At 38.1% G+C, this 22,670-nt stretch overlaps 1 protein-coding gene and 1 long non-coding RNA gene across 3 annotated transcripts in view; one reads left to right on the plus strand and one right to left on the minus strand.

The window, feature by feature from the left end:
* Positions 1–22,670, plus strand: part of TPRG1 (tumor protein p63 regulated 1) — a 328,078-nt gene that overhangs the window by 78,342 nt on the left and 227,066 nt on the right. The window lies entirely within an intron of this gene.
* The window catches only part of LOC107986167 (uncharacterized), a 37,180-nt gene that overhangs the window by 11,689 nt on the left and 2,821 nt on the right, over positions 1–22,670 (minus strand). The window lies entirely within an intron of this gene.

The following is a 22,670-nucleotide window of genomic DNA, read 5'->3' on the forward strand; positions in this document are numbered from 1 at the left end:
ATTTTGCATTTCTCTAGGCACTTGAAACTATCTCCCCCTATCCCCAGTTCTGAGTCTGATTTTATAATGGCATTCTGGGGCTTTAGATTTGTGGTGATTTTAGAGAAAATTAGTTGCCTTGGTCAGTTCCACATCAGAGTGTATTTTTACAGTCCCACTTCCTTAGCCCACAGTTCCCATCAACTGTATCTTCAGGGATAAAATTGGCAACTTTTTAATTTTCTGCTCCCTTTTATGCACGGGGATAACCCCATACTTAGCAAATCCCTATCTTCAAGCAGTCAGCCTAGTTTTGTTCACCTGTCTTGCATGGAACACTTTTCTTCCATTATTCTATACCTGCCACTTCTGGTTTCTCTCTCCAAAGGCGCTCAGGTTCTTTGTTTCAACTCCCCTTCCCAATATATACTTTTTTTCTCTTTATGAATATAACAACATATTTATTTTCTTCAACCCCAATTTTCAGGTGAGGATATTAAAATATTAAGATGAAACGACTTGTCTCAAGCCACATGGTTAATATGTGGAAGGGCTGGGACTCATATCCAGGTATACTTGGCCTGAGATTTCATATTTTTAGTAGCTCCAAGCGGCCTTCTGGTTGGCTTTTGTTTGTCCATTAAGCATTTTTTCTAAACATCTAATAGGTTTGGACTTTCTTTTCTAATTTAGACTGTAAAAAAGAGCGCTTTTCCTCACAAATGCATAATGATATGGTGAAATGAACACTGGGCTGTAAGTAAAATTACCAGAGTTTGGTTCCTGGCTTGGAAATTAGTTGTCTCTGGCCCTCAGTTTTATCTTCTAAAACATTAAGTGGTTTGACTTAGATGGGCTCTAAGTTCCCTTGCAGTTCTAATGATCTGTAAGTGCACCTTTAGTATGCTCCATTCTCAGCAAGCTGTATTTTGCTGATTGAATATCATCTTTTAAAAATATGTGTATTATCTGTCACTGAGACTGTTTTTTTTTTTACAAAAAAATACTTGTATAAAAACAGAATGGGCTCATCGCCATGAGCAGATGGTTAGTAAGTAGTTTAATGGTTCCATATGGAACACTGTTGTTAAGCCCTGGGCTTAATGGTCTCTCCTTCCCCCTTTTTAAATTCATAGATCATTACTGGGAGTGATAAGATAATGTAACTAAAAAAAACATGCCCAGTAATTTCCAGGAAGATACTAATGGGCCACCTAGGCAAATGTATCACTGTTTATACTGGAAATGACAGATGAATACCCAAACTCTCAAATAAATAGCTAAATATTGTCATTTATTGAGTCAGATTTGAAAAGAAGTTATAGCATTATATGCAGAAAAGTGGGCAAACACTTCACAAAAGAATATATGTGTACATATATATATATATATATAGCCAATAAGCACATGAGAAAGTGCTTATTGAAAATAAAAACCACAATAAGATAAATTGTAAATGGCTAAAATCAAGAAGACAGACAACATTAAATGCCAGTGATGATATGGAGCAAGTGGAACTTTCCTACATTGCTGTTCTGAGTGAAAATGCTGCATAACTATGGGAGAGTGTTCCGCAGTTTTTTAAAGTTCAGCAATTATGTACTCCATGGCTGTTCCACTTCTAGGAATTTACTCAAGATGTATGAAAATATAAATCCACAAAAGATTTAAACAGCAATGTTTATGGTATATTATTAATTCAACGTCATATTACTTAGCCTTTAAAAATAATGAACTACTTTTACACATAACAACGTGGATCTCAAAAACATCATATTAACTGAATGAAGCCAGATTCAACAAAAATACACACTTTCTGTATTTTTGCCTATACTAACTAACTAATAGTTAGGCAACTAATAGTTAGTTAGTTTGCCTAACTAACAGTTAGGCAAAACTAACTATGGGGATAGAAATCAGAAATTTGTTGCCTCTTTAGAAAAGATTGAGTGGAAAAAGACACAAGGAATTTTTGGGGTGATAAAGATATTCAATATTTTGTTGCGGGAATGATTATATAGGTGTACAAAATTGTCAAAATTCATTGAACTCAACACTTAACAATTTGTGCATTTTACTGTATGTTAATTATACCTAAACTAAAGAGAAATTGATATATTCCACCCTTTTAATCCAGTCAGAGATTGTATTTATTGATTGGAAATATTCACACTTCACACCTTTTAGGCACTCAGTATAGATTAGATTTTTATTAATCTGCTTTGAAATACAATGAGTTCCTTTCTTACCAGATATTTTCTTTTAGTTGGAGAATTGAGAAATTGCACTGTTAGCTTTGCATTTGTACAGAAACCAGTGTATGGTGGCTTAAACTTAATATAGTTTACCTGAAGTATAAAGTCAGTGCTTCTTCCAAACAAAGATGATCATGTAGCCATTTACCAATTACTGTGCTTTGAAGAACTCTCTTGGTCTCATTAATATTTCTCCTAAAAACCTTTTCCTTCCTTCCTTCCTTCCTTCCTTCCTTCCTTCCTTCCTTCCTTCCTTCCTTTCTCTCCTTTCTCTCTTTCTCTCTTTCTCTCTTTCTTTCTTTCTTTCTTTCTTTCTTTCTTTCTTTCTTTCTTTCCTTTCTTTTTTTTTTTTTAGATGAAGTTTTGTTCTTGTCATCTAGGCTGGAATGCAATAGCACTATCTTGGCTCACTGCAACCTCTGCCTCTTGGGTTCAAGTGATTCTCCTGCCTCACCCTCCCGAGTAGCTGGGACTACAGGTGTGTGCCACCATGCTTGGCTAATTTTTGTATTTTTAGTAGAGATGGGGTTTCACCATATTGTTCAGGCTGGTCTTGAACTCCTGACCTCAGCTTGTCTGCCACCTCAGCCTCCCAAAGTGCTGGGATTACAGGTGTGAGCTACTGTGCCTGGCCAAAAACCCTTTTCTTAAAAATGTGTTTCTATAGTTAAAATGTCCTGAAGATGCAGTCTGTATTTCTTATACATCTTCTACTGAATGAGCGAAGGAAGGTAGACCTGGAATTGCCAATGAAATTTCTTACCCATAGCTAGACTGCAGTCTAAATTGTTTTGTCTTATTAAGTACTGTAAGCTCTTTTCTCTTGTCATGAATTCAGGGTTATGAAGAAAAATAATCTTTTGATAATAGATATATTATGCTTTATTATGTAATTAGGAACCCATGGCTCTGAATTCAGGCAGACTTATGTTTAAATACATTGGCTCCACCACACACTAGCTGTGCTACCTTAAACAAGTTTTCAGTGTTTCTGAGTCTATGTCTTTATTTAACTTTGTACAATAATAATGTAACAATAATGTCTACCTCAAGGGTTTTGTGTTATGACTTAAGTAAAGCAATAGTGTGGTGTTTGGCATGGGTAGGTCACCATAACTGTCATCGTGTCTCAGTCTGTTTACATTGCTATTGAGGGAATACTTTAGGCTGGATAATTTATAAAGAAAAGAGGTTTATTGGGCTCATGGTTCTGCAGATGGTATAAGAAGCATAGTGCTCACATCGCATCTGCTTCTGGTGAGGGCCTCAGGAAGCTTCCAATTATGGCAGAAAAGGAAAGGGAGCAGGAATGTCACATAGCAAGGGAGGGAGCAAAAGGAAGAGAGGAGGAAGGTGCCAGCCTCCTTTTAATAGCTAGATCTCATTGGAACTAATACAGTGAGAACTCACTCTTTATGGCAAGTAGGGAGGCAAGCCATTCATGAGGGATCTGCCCACATGACCCCGACACCTCCCACCAGGTGTTCCCCACCTCCAACATTGGGGAACAAATTTCAACATGAAATTTAGAAGGGACAAATATCCAAACTATGTCACATCATGAAGCTTCACTGTTACCACTTGCTTACTTGATTGTTATCACCCTCTAAATTGGAAGCCCCTCAAGAATAGAGACCATGGCTTCTATATCCATATTTTAACCTGCACCCAGAATAGTTTCACAATAAATGCTGAATAAATGATTTTACTTTTTCATTTTTGTGGTGTTTTCTCATTGTTTATGCAATATTAACATATACTACTAATAATTAAAAACAGAAGTATTTTAAACACACACACAAATATGCACACTCATAATTAATTAAACAAGATTCCTGGTCTTGAAAATATTTTTGTTTCTCTTGGCTTTGATTGACACTCTGCACTCCCCATATCCCAGTAGTACAACATGCAATTACTACAGTGAAAAACTAAATCATTCAATCTTTATTGGCTTTCTGGACATAAACTCAGTCTTCTAAGCACATGTTTAAGATCTCATCTATGAGGCCAAAAGGTTTAAATATGGAACAGTAAGCATTTTCCGAGGCATTCATCTGACTCGTAACCAAGTACTACCTGTGTTAATGCTTCACTTGTTTGTGGATGCCTTTTCCTGCCATCAAGATAATAAATGCTTTGTACCTGATACTTTTTTGTGCCCTCCCTCCAAATTCCAACACCTGATGTGGTTGGATGCACGTTGTATAGCTAAATAGATATCTGTTGAATGAACGAATAAATGAGAAAATTTATTGCACAGTTCTAGTCAGTATATAATGAAGGGCTACATTATATGGCAATGGACAAGACTGTAAGAGCTAGAAAAGATGTTGAAAGTTATCTAGTTCAAACTTCTTTTAAGTTTGGACAGCGAAACAGAAATCATGCTGGATCTTTAAATAGAGTGAGTTTTAATATCGGGAATTTGTCATTTCTGTGACAGAAATGCTGAAAAACCAAACAGAGAATAGTAAGGCAACCCAGAGAACAAAGACCACTCCTCAACTGGAGGGACTGGAGGGAGGTATTGCTTCCAGAGTTCAGAAGCTGGGACTATCCACAGTAGCTGAAGCCATAGAAGAGACATAGCCATTACTGCAGACACTGCAAAAATACACAGAAATAGGAAAAGTAAAATACTGGCTTGTCTTTCTTTTCTTGAATCTTTTTTCCTGCTTTCCTGGAGCCAAACCTACCCAAAAGCTAGAGGGCAAGGGAACCTTATTCCCTTGTAGTGATACAGAGAGGAAAAGGGAAGGGAGAGGATGGATCTGAGAGCAAACTGGCAGTTGACCAGCATAGGTTCCTAAAGAAAGGTGGGCATGGGCTAAGTCTGGAAGAATAAGTTGAATTTTGAAACTTGGAGGTGCAAGAATGAGGCATTTGGGAAAATGGGACCTAAAAGATAAAAAACAAGGAGGTATGAGGTATATTGATGCAGTGTGGGGAGGCCATCCTGGGTTGATTAGGAAGTACATATTGAATAGCACTGGGATTAACTAGGTAAACTGGGTTAGGTCATGATCTGGTATGCTAGTGGAGGAGTGACATGAGAAAATGGTATTGAAGGAAGAATGTTTGGCAGTGGCATGCAGGGTAGATTTGAGTGAGAAGAGACCAGAGGCAGGAAAGCCACAAAGGAAGCTACTGAGATAAGTTACACGTGGGCCAGCTAGAGTCTTGTCAAGGGATTGGCAGCAGGTGTAGAGATGAATATTTCTCTTTATAGAAGATGAAGGTAAAGAATTGGTTAAAAATGATGTCATTTATTTTCAGTCTGGATAATTAGAAGAATAATTGTGATTGAAACGGGCTGGTGACTGAAGATGATAGCAAAATATGAATGGACAAATCAAGGAAAATGAAGATATACCACTGAAGCTTGTTTGAAAAGATAGATGTGGTGATGCAGCTTTGAAGGTCATCAGTAGGCCATGAGAATGAATGAGGAAAAAATGCGTGGGGAGAGGGATTGTTGAGAGAACCAAGGACTAACCTTGGGTAATGTCTTAGAAGAGCCAAGAGGCAGAAGGAGAAAGAGGCACAAGTGAAAGGGACCGAGGAGCAGTCAAAGAGGCAGAAAGATGGGTAGAGTTTCAAGACAGAAAGTGAAAAGGCAAGTCAGGGCAGGATGAGGAGTCAGTATTATGCAGGTAATGGAAATATGGTCCAATTGGCAAGGTATAGTTACATGATGAACAATCCGAAATTCATGCTTGAATGAAAGAATAGAAGAAAAAAAGTATGGTCACAAGTATTAAATGATACAGAAAAGTTGATAAAAATACAGACCAAGAAAACACCTTACATGGTTCACTTTGGATCATTAAGTAGCAAAGATTACCTCTCTATTCTGAATTTTCCTTATAATGTAATGATGTATTTCTTTCTGTTAAAAAATAAACCAAACATATGCACATACACTTACTATATCTTCTCTTCCATGATTTCTTTCCTTGTTAAAACTATATGTCACAATTTATAGCATGTCGTAGTACCTCTATGGTGTTGCATATTTTTTAGGTTCCTTTGGTTATAATTCTGTATTGATGAAACTTTTTTTTGCAGTGTTATTTAACTGTCTTTGGAGGTTGGAATTTGCCTGGGATTCATCGAGATTTAGCTCAGCTCTGTTTTGCCATCAAAAGAGATTCTAGACGAGGCTAAACTCACTAAGGAAGAGTTGGGGGTTATTTGATAATAAGCCATCTACCTGGCTTCAGCTTAGTGGACAACATTGGACTTGTTGTCTGAGGTGGAACAAGATATATCTGAGGTCTATCTTGCTGAGGTGGAAACTATCAGTGGCTAGTGATAAGAGAGGGACACACAAGGTGAAAACATAAGAGGGTGTGTGTCTTCAACGTGTAAAGATGACCTGGAGGTAAGCATGTACCCTGGAAATGCAGCTATTTGAAATGAGAAAACCTGGGTCCTTGCCTGGCTTTGCCATCTCTTGCCTGCATGATTTTGAACAGATCATTCAATTAACCTCTCTGGGCCTTACATGACCCTTGGGAAGATTAACCAAGAGGACAAGATGAAAGTGTGGAGCATGCTGCTTGGCTCTATGTAGGTGTTCTTGACTGTTTTTCTTTACTATGCTTTATCTAGGAAGACAAAAACTTAAAAGAATGGTTAGGCATCTTGTCAGAAGCAAGACAACAGTTGGTAAGTCCTATCTCCCAACTCTTGAAGGCTATAGGCAGTCTTCTGGGCTTTATCTGCATACATGCCTGTTAATGGAGTCCCTCACAACGGATGCCAAGTCCAAGTCAAGATTTGTGACATCTTACACTTGAGCAACCGAGACAGGTACTCTCAGGTGTCCTGCCACTCACTCTAATTTGGTTTGACTGATTCTGTTTCAAACTTTACAATTTACCTTGAATTTCTCGAGCTCAGAAGGTAAATTCCAGTGGTTAGAACATTCATAAATGCAGCTGTAGCAGCCATAACCTGTAACTGACACTTTAAAAGGCCAGCAATTGATTCCAAGCATAGCGGAATATTTGACTGCTGATAATATCCCTGCTACATTTACTCATGCACACTCAAGAACGTACATTCACACACACACACAGCAGATATTTCCCTGTGTTTGTGCTATGTCACATGCACAGGAGATTTTGTTTTTTACCTGAAGGAAGAGAAATGGTATTTGGGTGGGGTCAGAGCCTAGGAAAAAGCAGGACAAGAAAAAGGGAGAAGATGGCACGGCTCATTTCTCATATTTTTCCATTGACTGGGATTGAGTGCTATAATTAGTGGGGGCTGTGGGTGGGGGCTGGGTGTGGAAGCTGGCAGGCCTGTTTAAAAAATATTTTGTGAGATTCTTGGCACAAGCATAACCGCTGGGGCCCAGGTGACCAAGGGTGACACTGAGCTGGGGAGGTGGGGCTTCTCATTGATACTGCATGGAAGCCAGCACATCCTTGGGGCCAGAGGCCTGGAAACTTTGACCACTCTGGCATAGGGATTCGGCTGCTAATGATGGGTGGAGCAGCTGTGGTGAGGCTTCTCCTGGGGGGTTTGTGGGCAACAGAGAAGACCTAGCAGAACCCAGAGAAGGAAAGGGAGGGGCAGGGAAGATGCCTTATGCATACTCTATCTGATCGACTGGTCCTTGGGCCTGTCACGCCATCTACCCAAGGGACCCCAGGAACCACTGGAGCAGGGAAGGGTTAGGTGACTTTAATTTTAATACCAGCTTTGTCATGAACTTACTTTGTTGCCTTGGGCAGATCATCCTTCCCTCTCTAGATCTGTTTTCCTATCTGGAAAATGAGGATTTGGGATTGGGTCTCAAAGGTTCCTCCTAGGTCTAACAGAATTAACCTCCCAATTGTATTAATCTGTTGTCAGTTAATCAAACAAAATATTTTCCTAGTGCCTATATCAAGTTTCTACTGCCAAATTCTAGAGATGGAATTATAAGTATATGTTGCCTGTGATGCTTGTCAGGTCCAGGTTCAAAACCCATTTTTGTCATTCACTGGCTGTTAATTTTCTTTATCTCTGATCTTCAGCTTCTTCATAGGAACACTGAGGATAGTAACACCTCCTGTTAGGGTTATTAAAAACAAAATGGGTCAGGCATGGTGGCTCACGCCTGTAATCCCAGCACTTTGGGAGGCTGAGGCAGGCGGATCACCAGAGATTGGGAGTTTGAGATCAGCCTGGCTAATGTGGTGAAACGGCTGGGCGTGGTGGCACATGCCTGCAATTCCAGCTACTTGGGAGGCTGAGGCAGAAGAATCACTTGAACCTGGGAGGCGGAGGTTGCAGTGAGCCAGGATTGCACTGTTGCACTCCAGCCTGGGTGACAGAGTGAGACTCCGTCTCCAAAAAAAAAAGAAAAGAAAAAAATGTACCATGCGTTGAAGACATAATAGGTGCTCAGTGAATATTGCCAACAATTATTTTATTATAAATTAGATATTCTAATAATGGACACTATTAACCTATACATAAAAATGTGGCTTTATAAAGTACCAATAGAAATACCAATACGTATGAGCTTGTCAAGGGGTCTTACTGAATTAAGAAACTTTCTGCTCAATATATATTCTATCATAAAAATAAGGAGCCATCCTTTGAGAATGCCCTGTTCTTTAGCTGTTTCATTACTCAGGCTTGCCTCAGAATTCCACTCAGCTTGTCATTCCTCATGTTTCTTTTCCTCTGACAAGAAACTGAGAAAGTCCAAGGATCTTTTCCATGTATGCAACTTAAAGATTTCAACCTAATTAAAGTAACTTTGCTTAATTAGGTTAAATATAACTTCTTTTATTCTGAATCAGAATCTAGAGAAAGCTATTCATTAACTAAGCTTTCTGTCTCTCACTATGCGTTTCTCTCAGAACTGCCATCTCTCCTCCACCCTCCACTTGGAACACTGTTATGTGGCCTAAATGGATGCTGGTCTTGTAAACCTATGTTTCCTGTGTAGTATCTAGATACAGCCCATTATCTGACATCATGCGTAAGAGGAAACTTCCTAAGTCCACACAGTTGCTACAAATAGTTACGCAACACTTGACCTTACCCAAATGTTTCAGGAGAGACTTCGCACCCCCAAAGGAAGCCAACCATATTTTTGTCATTTCTCTTGCCCCAGAAATAGTAGATGCTTGATAAAACATGTTAAATTACAGTAACAGACAATATGTGCACATGCTTTACCAAGAATAGTTGCAAACATTTTCTCATATGATCCTTGCAGCAGTCCTCTAAGAAAAATATGATTGTGCTGTTTAACAAATGAGGACACGTAGATTGAGTGATTTTATCCAAGTTACATGAATCATAAACTAGTAAAGCCTTGCCTTGACTCTAAAAACAAAACAAAAGCGAAAAGCAAGTACCGGGCTCTGTTACCAAGTGGGGCATAGGTACATTACGGTCCTATAGGTGGGGTGAGGTGAAGGATACTCAATGCCTGAAGGTGTGTCAGTCTGTCAATGAGCTATTCAGCTGTAAGCTATCCCCACAATTCATAGACATGCAATTCACATCTCATAGTATTTGCAAGACATGCAATTCATATCTCATAGTATTGGAAAACAAAAGGGAAAGATGGCTGGCGGTGGATACACATTTTCATTAATGTTTGGATTCCTCGTGTCTGTGTGTGTGTGCATGTGTGTGTGTGTGTGTGTGTGTGTGTATTATGGAGTTCCAGTAGCTGAATGTTGCAGCTAGACCAATGTTTGCTTCCCTAACAGGAGATAGCTGTTGCTGTCTGGTTCATTCTTTCCTGGGAGAGTCCTAATTAATATATGTTCCTCTCTTAACATGAGCTAATAACTAACTCCTCAGCCTAATCAAGAAGTATTTGAAGCAAATATACTGAGATTACAACTTTCCTTCCAGTTGAAGGATGACATCAGCAGCTTTATAGTGGAAACACTTTAACTTCTCAGGAATAAGTGATCTGATCCATAATGAAAAGTTCAAAGGCACAAATATTGTTACCGTTATGAAATTAATTGAAGATTAAAATCCATTTACACTTGAGGATATGGATGTATTTCATTCATTTTGCTTTCAATAAAATAAGAGTCATAAAATCATGAAATTAAGTGTTCAATCACTGTATTAGTCAGGGTTCTCTAGAGGGACAGGACTAACAGGATAGATGTATATATGAAAGGGAATTTATTAAGGAGTGCTGACTCACACCATCGCAAGATGAAGTCCCACAATAGGCCATCTGCAAGCTGAGGAGCAACGAAGTCAGTCTGAGTCCCAAAACCTCAAAAGCAGGGAAGCCGACAGTGCAGCCTTCAGCCTGTGTCTGAAGGCCTGAGAGCCCCTGGCAAACCACTAGTGTAGGTCAAAGGGTCCAAAAGCTGAAGAACTAGGAGTCTGATGTTCAAGGGCAAGAAGCATCCAGCACAGGAGAAAGGTGGAGGCCAGAAGGCTCAGCCAGTCTAGTCCTTCCGCATTCCTCTGCCTGCTTTTATCCTAGCTGTGCTGGCAGCTGATTAGATGGTGCCCACCCAGATTGTGGGTGGGTCTTCTTCTCCCAGTCCACTGATTCAAATTTTTTTTTTTTTTTGAGATAGGGTCTCACTCTCTTTCCCAGGCTCCCAGGCTGCACTGCAGTGGCACAATCAAAGCTCATTGCATCCTGGAGCTTCTGGGCTCAAGCAATCCTCCCTCCTCAGCCTCCCCAAAATTCTGGGACTGCAGGCATGTGCCACCACACCCAGCTAATTTTTTTTTTTTTTTTTTGAGATGGAAGTTTGCTCTTGTTGCCTAGGCTGGAGTGCAATGTCGTGATCTCGGCTCACCACAACCTCCGCCTCCCGGATTCAAGTGATTCTCCTGCCTCAGCCTCCCAAGTAGCTGGGATTACAGGCATGTGCCACCACGCCCAGCTAATTTTTTGTATTTTTAGTAGACACAGGGTTTCTCCATGTTGGTCAGGCTGGTCGAACTCCTGGAGGAGTTTTTTTGTTCTTGCAATAGTTTGCTGAGAATGATAGTTTCCAGCTTCATCCATGTCCCTACAAAGGACATGAAGTCATCCTTTTTATGGCTGCATAGTATTCCATGGTGTATATGTGCCACATTTTCTTAATCCAGTCTATCATTGATGTACATTTGGGTTGGTTCCAAGTCTTTGCTGTTGTGAATAGTGCTGCAATAAACATACGTGTGCATGTGTCTTTGTAGCAGCATGATTTATAATCCTTTGGGTATATACCCAGTAATGGGATGGCTGGGTCAAATAGTATTTTTAGTTCTAGATCCTTGAGGAATCGCCACACTGTCTTCCACAGTGGTGGAACTAGTTTGCAGTCCCACTAACAGTGTAAAAGTGTTCCTATTTCTCCACATCCTCTCCAGCACCTGTTTTTTCCTGACTTTTTAATGATCGCCATTCTAACTGGTGTGAGATGGTATCTCATTGTGGTTTTGATTTGCATTTCTCTGATGGCCAGTGATGATGAGCATTTTTTCCTGTGTCTGTTGGCTGCATAAATGTCTTCTTTTGAGAAGTGTCTGTTCATATCCTTTGCCCAATTTTTGATGGGGTCGTTAGTTTTTTCTTGTAAATTTGTTTGAGTTCTTTGTAGATTCTGGATATTAGCCCTTTGTCAGATGAGTAGGTTGCAAAAATTTTCTCCCATTCTGTAGGTTGCCTGTTCACTCTGATGGTAGTTTCTTTTGCTGTGCAGAAGCTCTTTAGTTTAATTGGATCCCGTTTGTCAATTTTAGCTTTTGTTGCCATTGCTTTTGGTGTTTTAGACATTAAGTACTTGCCCATGCCTATGTCCTGAATGGTATTGCCTAGGTTTTCTTCTGCGGTTTTTATGGTTTTAAGTCTAACATTTAAGTCTTTAATCCATCTTGAATTAGTTTTTGTATAAGGTGTAAGGAAGGGATCCAGTTTCAGCTTTCTACAGATGTCTAGCCAGTTTTCCCAGCACCATTTATTAAATAGGGAATCCTTTCCCCATTTCTTGTTTTTGTAAGGTTTGTCAAAGATCAGATGGTTGTAGATGTGTGGTATTATTTCTGAGGGCTCTGTTCTGTTCCATTGGTCTATATCTCTGTTTTGGTATTGGTACCATGCTGTTTTGGTTACTGTAGCCTTGTAGTATAGTTTGAAGTCAGGTAGCATGATGCCTCCAGCTTTGTTCTTTTGGCTTAGGATTGTCTTGGCAATGCGGGATTTTTTTGGTTCCATATGAACTTTAAAGTTTTTTCCAATTCTATGAAGAAAGTCATTGGTAGCTTGATAGGGATGGCATTGAATCTATAAATTACCTTTGGCAGTATGGCCATTTTCATGATATTGATTCTTCCTATCCATGAGCATCGAATATTCTTCCATTTGTTTGTTTCCTCTTTTATTTCTTTGAGCAGTGGTTTGTAGTTCTCCTTGAAGAGGTCCTTCACATCCCTTGTAAGTTGGATTCCTGGGTATTTTATTCTCTTTGAAGCAATTGTGAATGGGAGTTCACTCATGATTTGGCTCTCTGTTTGTCTGTTATTGGTGTATAAGAATGCTTGTGATTTTTGCACATTGATTTTGTATCCTGAGACTGCTAAAGTTGCTTATCAGCTTAAGGAGATTTGGGGCTGAGACGATGGGGTTTTCTAAATACACAATCATGTCATCTGCAAACAGGGACAATTTGACTTCCTCTTTTCCTAATTGAATACCCTTTATTTCTTTCTCCTACCTGATTGCTCTGGTCAGAACTTCCAACACTAATTCATAGTCATTCTTGACCTTGACCTCAAATGTCGGGGTTACTTCCAAAAATACTATTAACTGTTTATTTCAGTTACTTACAAATGTAATTAAACTTATAATAAATCATCTATATCTATATATTTTCACCCCATTTCCTATATCCAATCTACATTCAGAGAGCATTTGTGATCCATGTGTGAGAGGAGGGGAAGAGAGAAATAAAAGACTTTGAAAATCGTCTCAAGTAGTGAAAAAAGGTTTGCACTTGAATTAGGAGGTCAAATTAACATCTGTTGCTGTGAAAATTGAGTAAGTAATATATCTTTTTCGTACATCAAACTTTTTAAAAAAGCAAGTTATTAGATTAAATTACCAATGAAGTCACTCCAAGCCCTAATGCTCTTCCTCTGTTTCTCTCCCTCTCTGTCAGATATATGTGTATCTATTGATATCTATCTATCTATCTATCTATCTATCTATCTATCTATCTATCTATGTATCATCTGTCTATTAATACCTTTTTACAAAAGGCACAACTAAGGCATTTGTTTTAGGATTTTTTTCATCTGTGTTCTTAAGTCCAATTGAATGATTACAGGACTAACAGTCTATAGTTTGATATCAGGATTTTCTACTGTTACAGAATCAAATGGGAAGCTGTCCATCAAAAAACACTGTGGAATGTTTTCTTAAAAATTTAATAGAATTCATCTGTAGAATCACATGGGATTCCTTTAACAGAAATACTCTGATTATTTTTTCAATCTTCTCTTCTGACTACTGGCTATTCTGGTTTTTCAAGATTCTTCTGTAGTCTATTTTGTATCTTTACTAAAACTAAGACATATTATCCAATTTGTCTAGATTTTCAAATTTACTGGCATAACTTATAAACAATATTCTCTCTTAACATTTTCAAAATCTGTTCCATATTGGTATTTTAGTCTATTTTCCACTGCTTATCATGAAATATCTGGAACTGGGTTATTGATAAGAAATTTATTTCTTACAGCTATGGAGGCTGAGAAGTCCAATGTCAAGGAACCACATCTGGTGAGGCCCTCCTTGCTGGTGGGGACTCTGCAGAGTCCCAAGGCTATACAGAGCATCACATGGTGGGGAGGCTGAGCAAGCTAGTTCATGTCTCTCTTCCTCTTCTTATAAAGCCACCAGTCCCATTATCATGATAATGCACTAACCCATTAACCTATTATTTCATCAATTCATGAATGGACTAATCCTTGATAATCAAATCACCTTTTAAAGGTCCCACCTTTCAATACTGCCCCATTGGGAAATAAGTTTCAACATGAGTTTTGGAGGGGACAAACATTTAAACCATAGCAACTGATAATAATATTTTTTATTTTGTTTGTCTTCTTTTTTTTATGAGATTTTTCCAGGAGTTTATCTATATAATTAGTCTTTTCAAGGAAGCAGCTATTGGGGTAATTGATTAATCCTAAAATCTATTATTTTATTAATACTTATTTTCTATGTATTACTTTTCAATAGCCATTGGATTTATTTCATTGTTATTTTATATAGTATTTTAAATTGAATTCATATTTAATTTATTTTCAGTATTTCCTGTTTGATAGTAAATGCATTTAAGAACATACGGATTCTTCTGAATATTACTTTAATACAAAGCTACATCCCCCAAATTTTGACGCATAGTATTCTTATTGTCATTTATTTCTAAATGGATTTTGACCACAATTATTATTTAAAATGTTTCAATATTTTCAGGTGGATTGTCATTTTTTGGAGAGGATGGATAATGTTTGTCGTTAATTTCTAACTGTACTGCTTTAAGATCAGAATCTCTGATCTATACGTAATTTTTGCTTCATAGCAGGCTGATAATAGGTCAGTGTTTATAGATATGCAAAGTGGAAAAAATATATATTGTTAATTAAATTATTCAGATCTGTATTTGCTTTTGATCTACTTAGGATGACGATTATTGAGAAAGATATATTAAGATATTTCATTGTTTTTGCTTTATCATAGTTTTTTATTTAGATATTTTGCATCCATTTTAATTAGGTATATAGAAGGTTAATGACAGCTTTATTCTCTTAATCATACCTTTTATCAATTTAAACAATTCTTTGATATTTAAAAAACTTTTCCCCTTGAGTTCTGCCTTTTATATTAACGTTAATATATCTACTATTTTCAACATTTACCCTATGTATCTCTTTAATGTTTTCATTTTTATCTTTTCTGGATCTTTCTGTTTTAGGTATATCTTTTATAATAACTTATTGCTAAGCTTTATTCTTTTCTTTAACAAATCTTTGTCTCTGACTTATAATAGGGAAATTTATTCCAAAGTCTTTGCTTTGATTAATGACGTTTTGCAATTGTTTCATGCATTTATGTTTTTAACTTAATGACAAGAAGCAGTGTAAAAGAATGTTATTTGCTCTGACTGGGAAACCCAGTTCTACCATAGTAGATATTTGACCTTGCTTAAATTACATATATTTTCTATGCCTCAGTTTCTTCATAAATTAAATGAGAATGATTATAATTATGCTCAATTCATTGACTTATTGTAGGGATTAAGGAAATGATTACATGTAAAATATTTAAAACTTTGCCTGAGAAAGAGTGTGTATGAAATAAATGTCAACTATCATTATGTGGCTTTTTTCTTTCCACTTGTATTTGTTCTCTCCACCCCCTTTCTTCTTCCAGTGGTTTGTAAACAGTGCATTTGAGTTTTATTGTTCTAGCAGTTACTTTGTATATGTGACAGATGCATTTTGAAATCAACTTTATTGAAATATCATTTGTATATAATATCATGTACCCATTTTAAGTATATATTTTGATGAATCGTGACAAATATATACAACCACTTAATTACCACCACAATTGAGATATAGGACATTTCCATCACATAGTAATAGCCTGTGTCATTTCCTATACAATGCTCTCCACACCCTCCACCTCTTTCCAATACCCCGTTAGTCATTGATATGCTTTCTGCCACTATGGATTAGATTTATCTTTTCTAGAGTTTCATATAAATAGGAACACATAGCAGGCAGTCTTTCGTAACATATATTAAAAATTATTTTGCCTGTATTATCTGGAGTTATTTAATACCTCTGTCCTCCCCTGAATAACAACTTCAGTAGTTTTTCTCTCTCCTCCTCCTCTGTTACCTTCTATTTTCAGATGACCTAAGATCCTAGTTATAAACATTTAGAGATTATGCACTGAGTTATTTATTAATCTGTTTTCTACTTCATTTACTCATCACTGTGTCTTGTATCTTCTGTGTTACTTATTTTATCTATTTATCTTTGTTTCCCACATTTTTTTTCAGATATTTTGAAATACATAGACATGTATTTTTTCCTAGAGGGCATGAAAGGTGGTAACTTTTCTGAATCTTTGCAATATTCTGTATGTCCTTATTTTGCTCTCCTATTTGAATGGCATTTTAGATGCTAAATGTAGGATTCTAAGAAATATTGTCCTCCTTTATTTTCTCCTGATATGTAGTTTTGCCAGCAGGAGCTCAGATTTAGCACTAAAGAAGACTAACACAACTGGATCTTTTCACTCACTATTTTTCAGTTCAGAGATATCTATTTCTACTTTGCAGTTTATCAGTGATTTTTTCAATAATCAAAAATTCAAATATCAATCCTGCTAGTTCAGTAGTTCTCTAATAGCAATATGCATACAAACCACCTGTGGGATCTGTTAAAATGCAGATTCAGTTTTAGTCATTTTAGGATGAGGCCTGAGATTCTGCGCCTCTAACAAGCTCCCAGGTGATGGTGATGTTGCTGGTCTGTGGACCACACTTTAAGTATCAAGGCCCTGGCTACTGCATCTTCATGGATTTGATATCCCTTTAAACCATTCTGAAGAATACATTATTTATCTGAAATTTCTTTTTTTTTTTTTTTTGGTATCTTCTATTAATTCTGTTTTCTTGAGATAGCGATACTTGTATTTCTTAGGTCTGTGGCTTCTCGCTTCCGGTATTGATTTTCCTCAATTTGTTTCCTTCTTTTAAAAATGCTTGGTTGTCAGAGTTACCTGTTGCTTATCTATTGCTGTGACTGTGGGTGAGGGGAGGCACGCTGCTCAGAGTGCACTGGGAGCAATGTGAGGATTCTACATCTGCCTGTCTGACTTCAGAACTGGCTCTGCTTCTGTCTACGGGCAATACCACTGTCACCAAATGCTTATCATAAGCTAGGGGAGAGCGCTGACCAGCACAGCTGATAATGATGATGATCAAAATAACCAAATTAACATTTTTGAGTGCCTACTGCATGCAAGGCCCTGTTCTAAGTGCTACACACGTATTAACTTGTTTAACAAATGCATCTTGTCAAAGACATGTTTAAAAATCTAAACCATATTAACAGTTCCTCTCTGTTTTTAGTGTTCTCTAATTTGCTGAAATTGATGAGCATGATTTATCTTTATTCTAATTATTTCTCCTTCTTCTTCTGTGATTAAACAGAAAATGCTAAATATACAGATATTTGCCTAGTTGAAATAGCCAAAATATTCCAGCATAACTAGATAATACCCCCAAACCGAACCCTGTATAGAGGACAGTGAATGGAGACAAAGAGCATGAGAGAATAAGAAAAAAGAAGAAATAAAAGAAAGTAAACTCAAGGAGAGAGCGTCAATAAAGAGACAATATAAAAGATGAAGGAGAAGATTAATGGAGGTAAAACTTGCACGATAAAGAATTCAGCTGCATTTTGCTTGGGTTTATGTTTAGACCTTCCTTAAATTCTTTCACATCTCTGCAAACAGGAAGATTAATTGAGTAGCCTTCAACATTCAGACACAGCCCTGGCTGTGGTGACCTTACAGATTTGACCCAGGAGAACAGGAGGAATATTAATTTTGGCTTCTAAACAGGCAGATTTTCATAAATTTATTGGAGAGACATCTTGTTCTGTGTTGTATGGATTGTTTCTGTGAGCTGAATGAAATGGTCTCTTATTTTGTGGGCTCGCGGGGATTTTATTAGCAATATTTATTTAGACACCAAAGAAGAAGCCATTTGAATCTTGGAACCTGGTTTGAATTTGCAGCTAAATGTGATCTTTCATCTCGGGGCTATTTCCTTTCATTTTCAGGATGTGGATAGACAATGGAAAGACAGGTGAAGCCATTGGTATTTTGGGCTCATGCCACTAAATTCCAATATTTCGGGTTCTGGGAAATTTGAAGCTCACACTCTTAAAATGTTTTCCACTGTTTGTAAAGGCATTTGTTTTGCAAAGGAAACACAATCCTGATGTTCTGTACTTATAAAATCTGCATCTTTAGAGTTGACCGTGCCTCTACGGGCCTTTCTACTTGTCTTTAATTAGGGTTAGATAATATTATTCTGGATAAAGAAAGCAGCCCAACAGAAAAGGGATGGTCAAAGCAGCCCTCGGGACATCAGCCTGGTTTGAATCTATCTATATTTTTAATAAATTGTTCATTTTTCAGTTTGTAACTTGAATCTCACTGAAAGATACAGCCTCCAAACACACGGAGTTTCTACCATGGGCCTTGCCCTAAGCTCGAACCCTGGGACACAAAGATAATTCCATGAAATTCTTGGGTTCAGGGACCATCAGATGAGTCCTAAACAGAGATATTTTTGGGAACAGAGTGCTAAAACACATTATATGTACTGTAACAGGGTAGCGTATGAAGTAAGTGGAAAGGGGGCCTCACTCAGCCTGAGTAAGTGGAGTACTGAACAGACATTGTGAAGGAGGCAACGTTGCCCCTGGATCTCACAAAATGAAGAGATGTTCTCCAGTACAATTTTTCTCTCTTCTTCCAACACTCCATAACTGCCCCCTCCTTCTCTTCCTCATTCCACTATGCCTCTGCATGCCTACTTTTAAAGCTTTGTTTCTGAAGAAAAAGGATCTATTCAAAATGCTGACAATCCCCGTTAAATGGCTCTTTAAGAGGTCCCAGGTTGTCAGAACTGCTTCACGTCCTTGAGCTTGGAGATCAACCTGCTATTTATCCAGCTGAAATCCCTCCACCTCCTCACAGACTCCGGCTTGCATCTTAAATTTGCGTCATTTGTTCTGACTCACGCAGCTGTTTGAATTATAGCACTCAACTTCACCCAGGTGTAATTGATTTTCTCTTGCCTGCCACTTGTATATTGGCAGCCAATCCCAAAAAGAGGAAGTGTCTTAAATTTAGGCGATTTGAGACATGATAGGTAGTGCTGAGTATCTGTGTGTGTCAATGTTGATGGGGGAGGTGAGAGAACTCCATAACTCCCCTTCTTTAGGGTGACAATCCTCTTGCTGTCATCCATCACTGAAGCCTTCCTCCTTGCTCTGGTCGAGGCAGGGAGCAGGCCCATCCATCCTGGAGGAGCAGGATGCACAACCGTAGAAAATGATTGGCATCAGTTTTACAGAGGCACTCTCCGTTCTGGGGCATCATATCAGTCTTGTGTCATGTGTATTGATTGTAGACTTCCTTACAGAGAGTCTGGCTCACGACTAGGGTACCAATGCAATTCTTCTGGCCCCTGCCTGCTGAGAGAGGGAGATGACAGAGAGGTTGTGTGAAGGTGAAACAAAGACTTGATCTTCAGTGGCTGTTGTTTCATTTGTTCTGAGTACCTGCAAGGCTCTGCAATGGAACAGGACATCTTTTACCTTCTAATTGCCAGTCTAGGAGAGGCTGCCTGCTAGAGGCAGATTTGGGTAATGAAGACTGGCAAGGTTTCTAATGATGAACAAAGGGAGAGTGGGGGAGTCATAGACCAGAGCATAGATAATTCATGGCATACTCAAAATTGTGTCTCAGTGGCATGTCTCTTCCTTGCCCTTGAGTTCAGAGTATCTCATCTGATATTTATGGAATGTCTCTGCGGTGGCATGCATGATGCTAGGTATGTGGGACCCATAGCCAAACAAGACAGAGTCCCTGCCCTTCAAGGCCTTAGGATTGATGTATTAGTATTGTTTCATCAGTCTCCGTTCTTTAAAAATCTCTTGAATTACTCTCGTCTTCTCCATCCTCTCTGGAAAGCTTCGCCAACTTCAGGCAAAGCTCCTCTCTATACTCTGTACTTAGGTTAGCACTGAACTCTCTAAGTCATGGTCAGATGGGTTTCTCTCCCCTGAATGTCTTGTTCATAAGTCTCTGCGGGCAAAAACAGCATCTTTTCATCTCAGAATCCCCATTGCTCTTGTCAGGAAGTGGGCATTCAGAAGTACATTGAGTGATGAACCTCACAGCTTATGTCTGTCTTTCCCTTATTCATTCTTCAGTATCCTTCTCAGGTTGGGATAGAAGAAGCTCAGCCAGGGCCTAACGTTATAAAATGTTGTCTGGTGAATGAGACCTTGGGAGAGGAGAGGGGAGTTTGGTCAGGGCCCAGCTCTGTCTCTGATTTGCACTTGGCATGAATCATCTCACTTCTCTTGACCTCTATCAGTCGTATCCATAACGTTTGCTCATGTATACTGTGGGAATTGGAAACGATAAGACACTGCTAACTGCATTCATGGTCAATCATTGTTTTCATGTGCACATTAATCTTGCAAACAGTTATTAAACACCAGTTGTATAGGAGGCTTCTCCCAGCAGGCTCTGCATACCACACCTCAGTTGCATCAAATGGAATGCTTGCTCTCCACTCAGTATACCTTCCTTCTCCTGTCCTGGGGCTCTTCCCCCTGCTTGGGAGGCCCTAGTGCCACCCCATCACTACTGTCTTTTCTTTGGTTTTGTTTTCTGAATCCTCAGTTTCTATTCTGGCTTCTCGAGTGTTACCTTCTCTGTGAAGACTTCTCTCACCCCTCTTCTCTCCACTTGAGTGGAGCACTTCATCTCTCCTCTGCTGTGGCATGCCTGTGCTTGTAGAGCAGCTATAGATCTGCATGTTTACCTTCCTATTAAATTATGAGCTCTATAAGAGCTGGATTCCTCATAGTGTCTGATACCAAGAGATTGATCTTTTCTTCCTTCTGACCTGTTCTTCTACAGCAGTGGTGCTCAAACATTTTGGCTTCAGGACTCCTTTGTGTGCTTTAAAATGATTAAGGACTCCAAAGAGCTTTTGCTTATGTTAGTTAGATCTATTCATATTTACTCTATTAGAAATTAAAAGTGTGAAACGTAAAAAATTCATTAGTTCACATATTTTCCAAAAGAAAGTGGTGTTGTTTTACATTCTTGCAAATCTCCTAAGTTTGGCTTAATTGAAGACATAAGTATATTCAATCTGTAATAATATGTTGTTTAGTTGAAGTAGATGAAGAAAATTCTGCCTTATACAGACGTATAATGGAAAAAGAGTGAAATATTTTAATAGTATTTTCAGACAACTGTAGACAGTTCTCTCTCTCTCTCTTTTTTGCTACCACATCAAAACTTAACAACTGGGAGTTTCTCTAAGATTAACTGCATTGTGGGATCTGGAACTATATGAATGAACATTTTGTACTCAGTTATATTAAAATTTACTAGTGCATCTTGCATTTTAAATGTGTATTTTCTCCATGCATGGCTTTGTAACACTACGCATTTGGTCATCTGGGAAATATTGGTTCACTGACTTCTACCAGTCTTTCAAATGTTGGCACATTTCATTCCAAAACTCAAATTATCACATATTTCAACATCAACACTAATCAAATAAAAAAAGTTTTAAGTATTGGGGAGCTGTTAAGTTCCTGGTGGTGGATACACCTTTTCCAACATTCTAATTTTTTATTGAAAGCTTAAATTTTATGATTGGCAAAAGGTATTATTGATTGTGCTCTTGAAGTGGCAGCTTCACTTTGTTCATTACTGAAAAAATGTCTGTGAAATACCCAGGTTTAAATACCTATAGTTTGTCTGTCAGTCATTCTTCCAAATAAATATGTGTTTCATGAAAAAAGCAATTGACTTAGTTTATATCTCAATTGCACAACTACTTTTTCTTGAGACAACTATTATACTTCAGGAAACAGCAGAAGCCCTTCGTGCATATTTCTCATTTTGTCATGGAATAGAAAAAGATGTGTACTCATCGTTATAAATTTCATAAAATAAATAATAATTTTAACTGCATCTTTAAAGCAAATTAAAGAGAAATTTACTTTTTCTTTTAATAGTTGTTCATGGCCGTGAAAAATATGGCCTGATTTGGGTTCACTTCCTTAAATGTGCTAAGGCCCCAGCAATTTTACCTGCTGTTGTTTTTGCACATCAGTCCAAATGGCAACACAGGAAAAGTGGCAAATAATAGCTTCATATTATTTTGAAAATAATTGGACCTTGTGTCTTCTCTGAAAGGATCTCAGAAACCGCTAGGGATTGTTGAACCACAATTTGAGAACTACTGATGGAAATAATTGGTTTCTGTGTTTTCCCCCCTTTACGTAGTCATCTTTTCTTTACCAAGAGTAAAAAAGGCCTGTTTGTACTAGATCTATACCGAAGATTTAAGAGGAGAGACAGGATTTTCTATTTGACTTCATTTCTTTCTGCAATCTCATTCTGCCTTTGGTTTAGACATCGTCTCCTTTGATTCATCAGGGGCCAGTGACCTAGTCAGAGGGTCACAGAGCTAAGACTGACCAATTGATCAAGCACTAGAAGCACAGAGTATAAAGAAGAAGAAAAGAGAGCCGGGTAGGGAAAGTACTAGAGGAAACAATGTTTGAAGATAAAAAATATGAGAATTAAAGAAAGAG

Source organism: Homo sapiens, chromosome 3 (genome assembly GCF_000001405.40).
Source record: "Homo sapiens chromosome 3, GRCh38.p14 Primary Assembly".
Taxonomy (NCBI): Eukaryota; Metazoa; Chordata; class Mammalia; order Primates; family Hominidae; genus Homo; species Homo sapiens.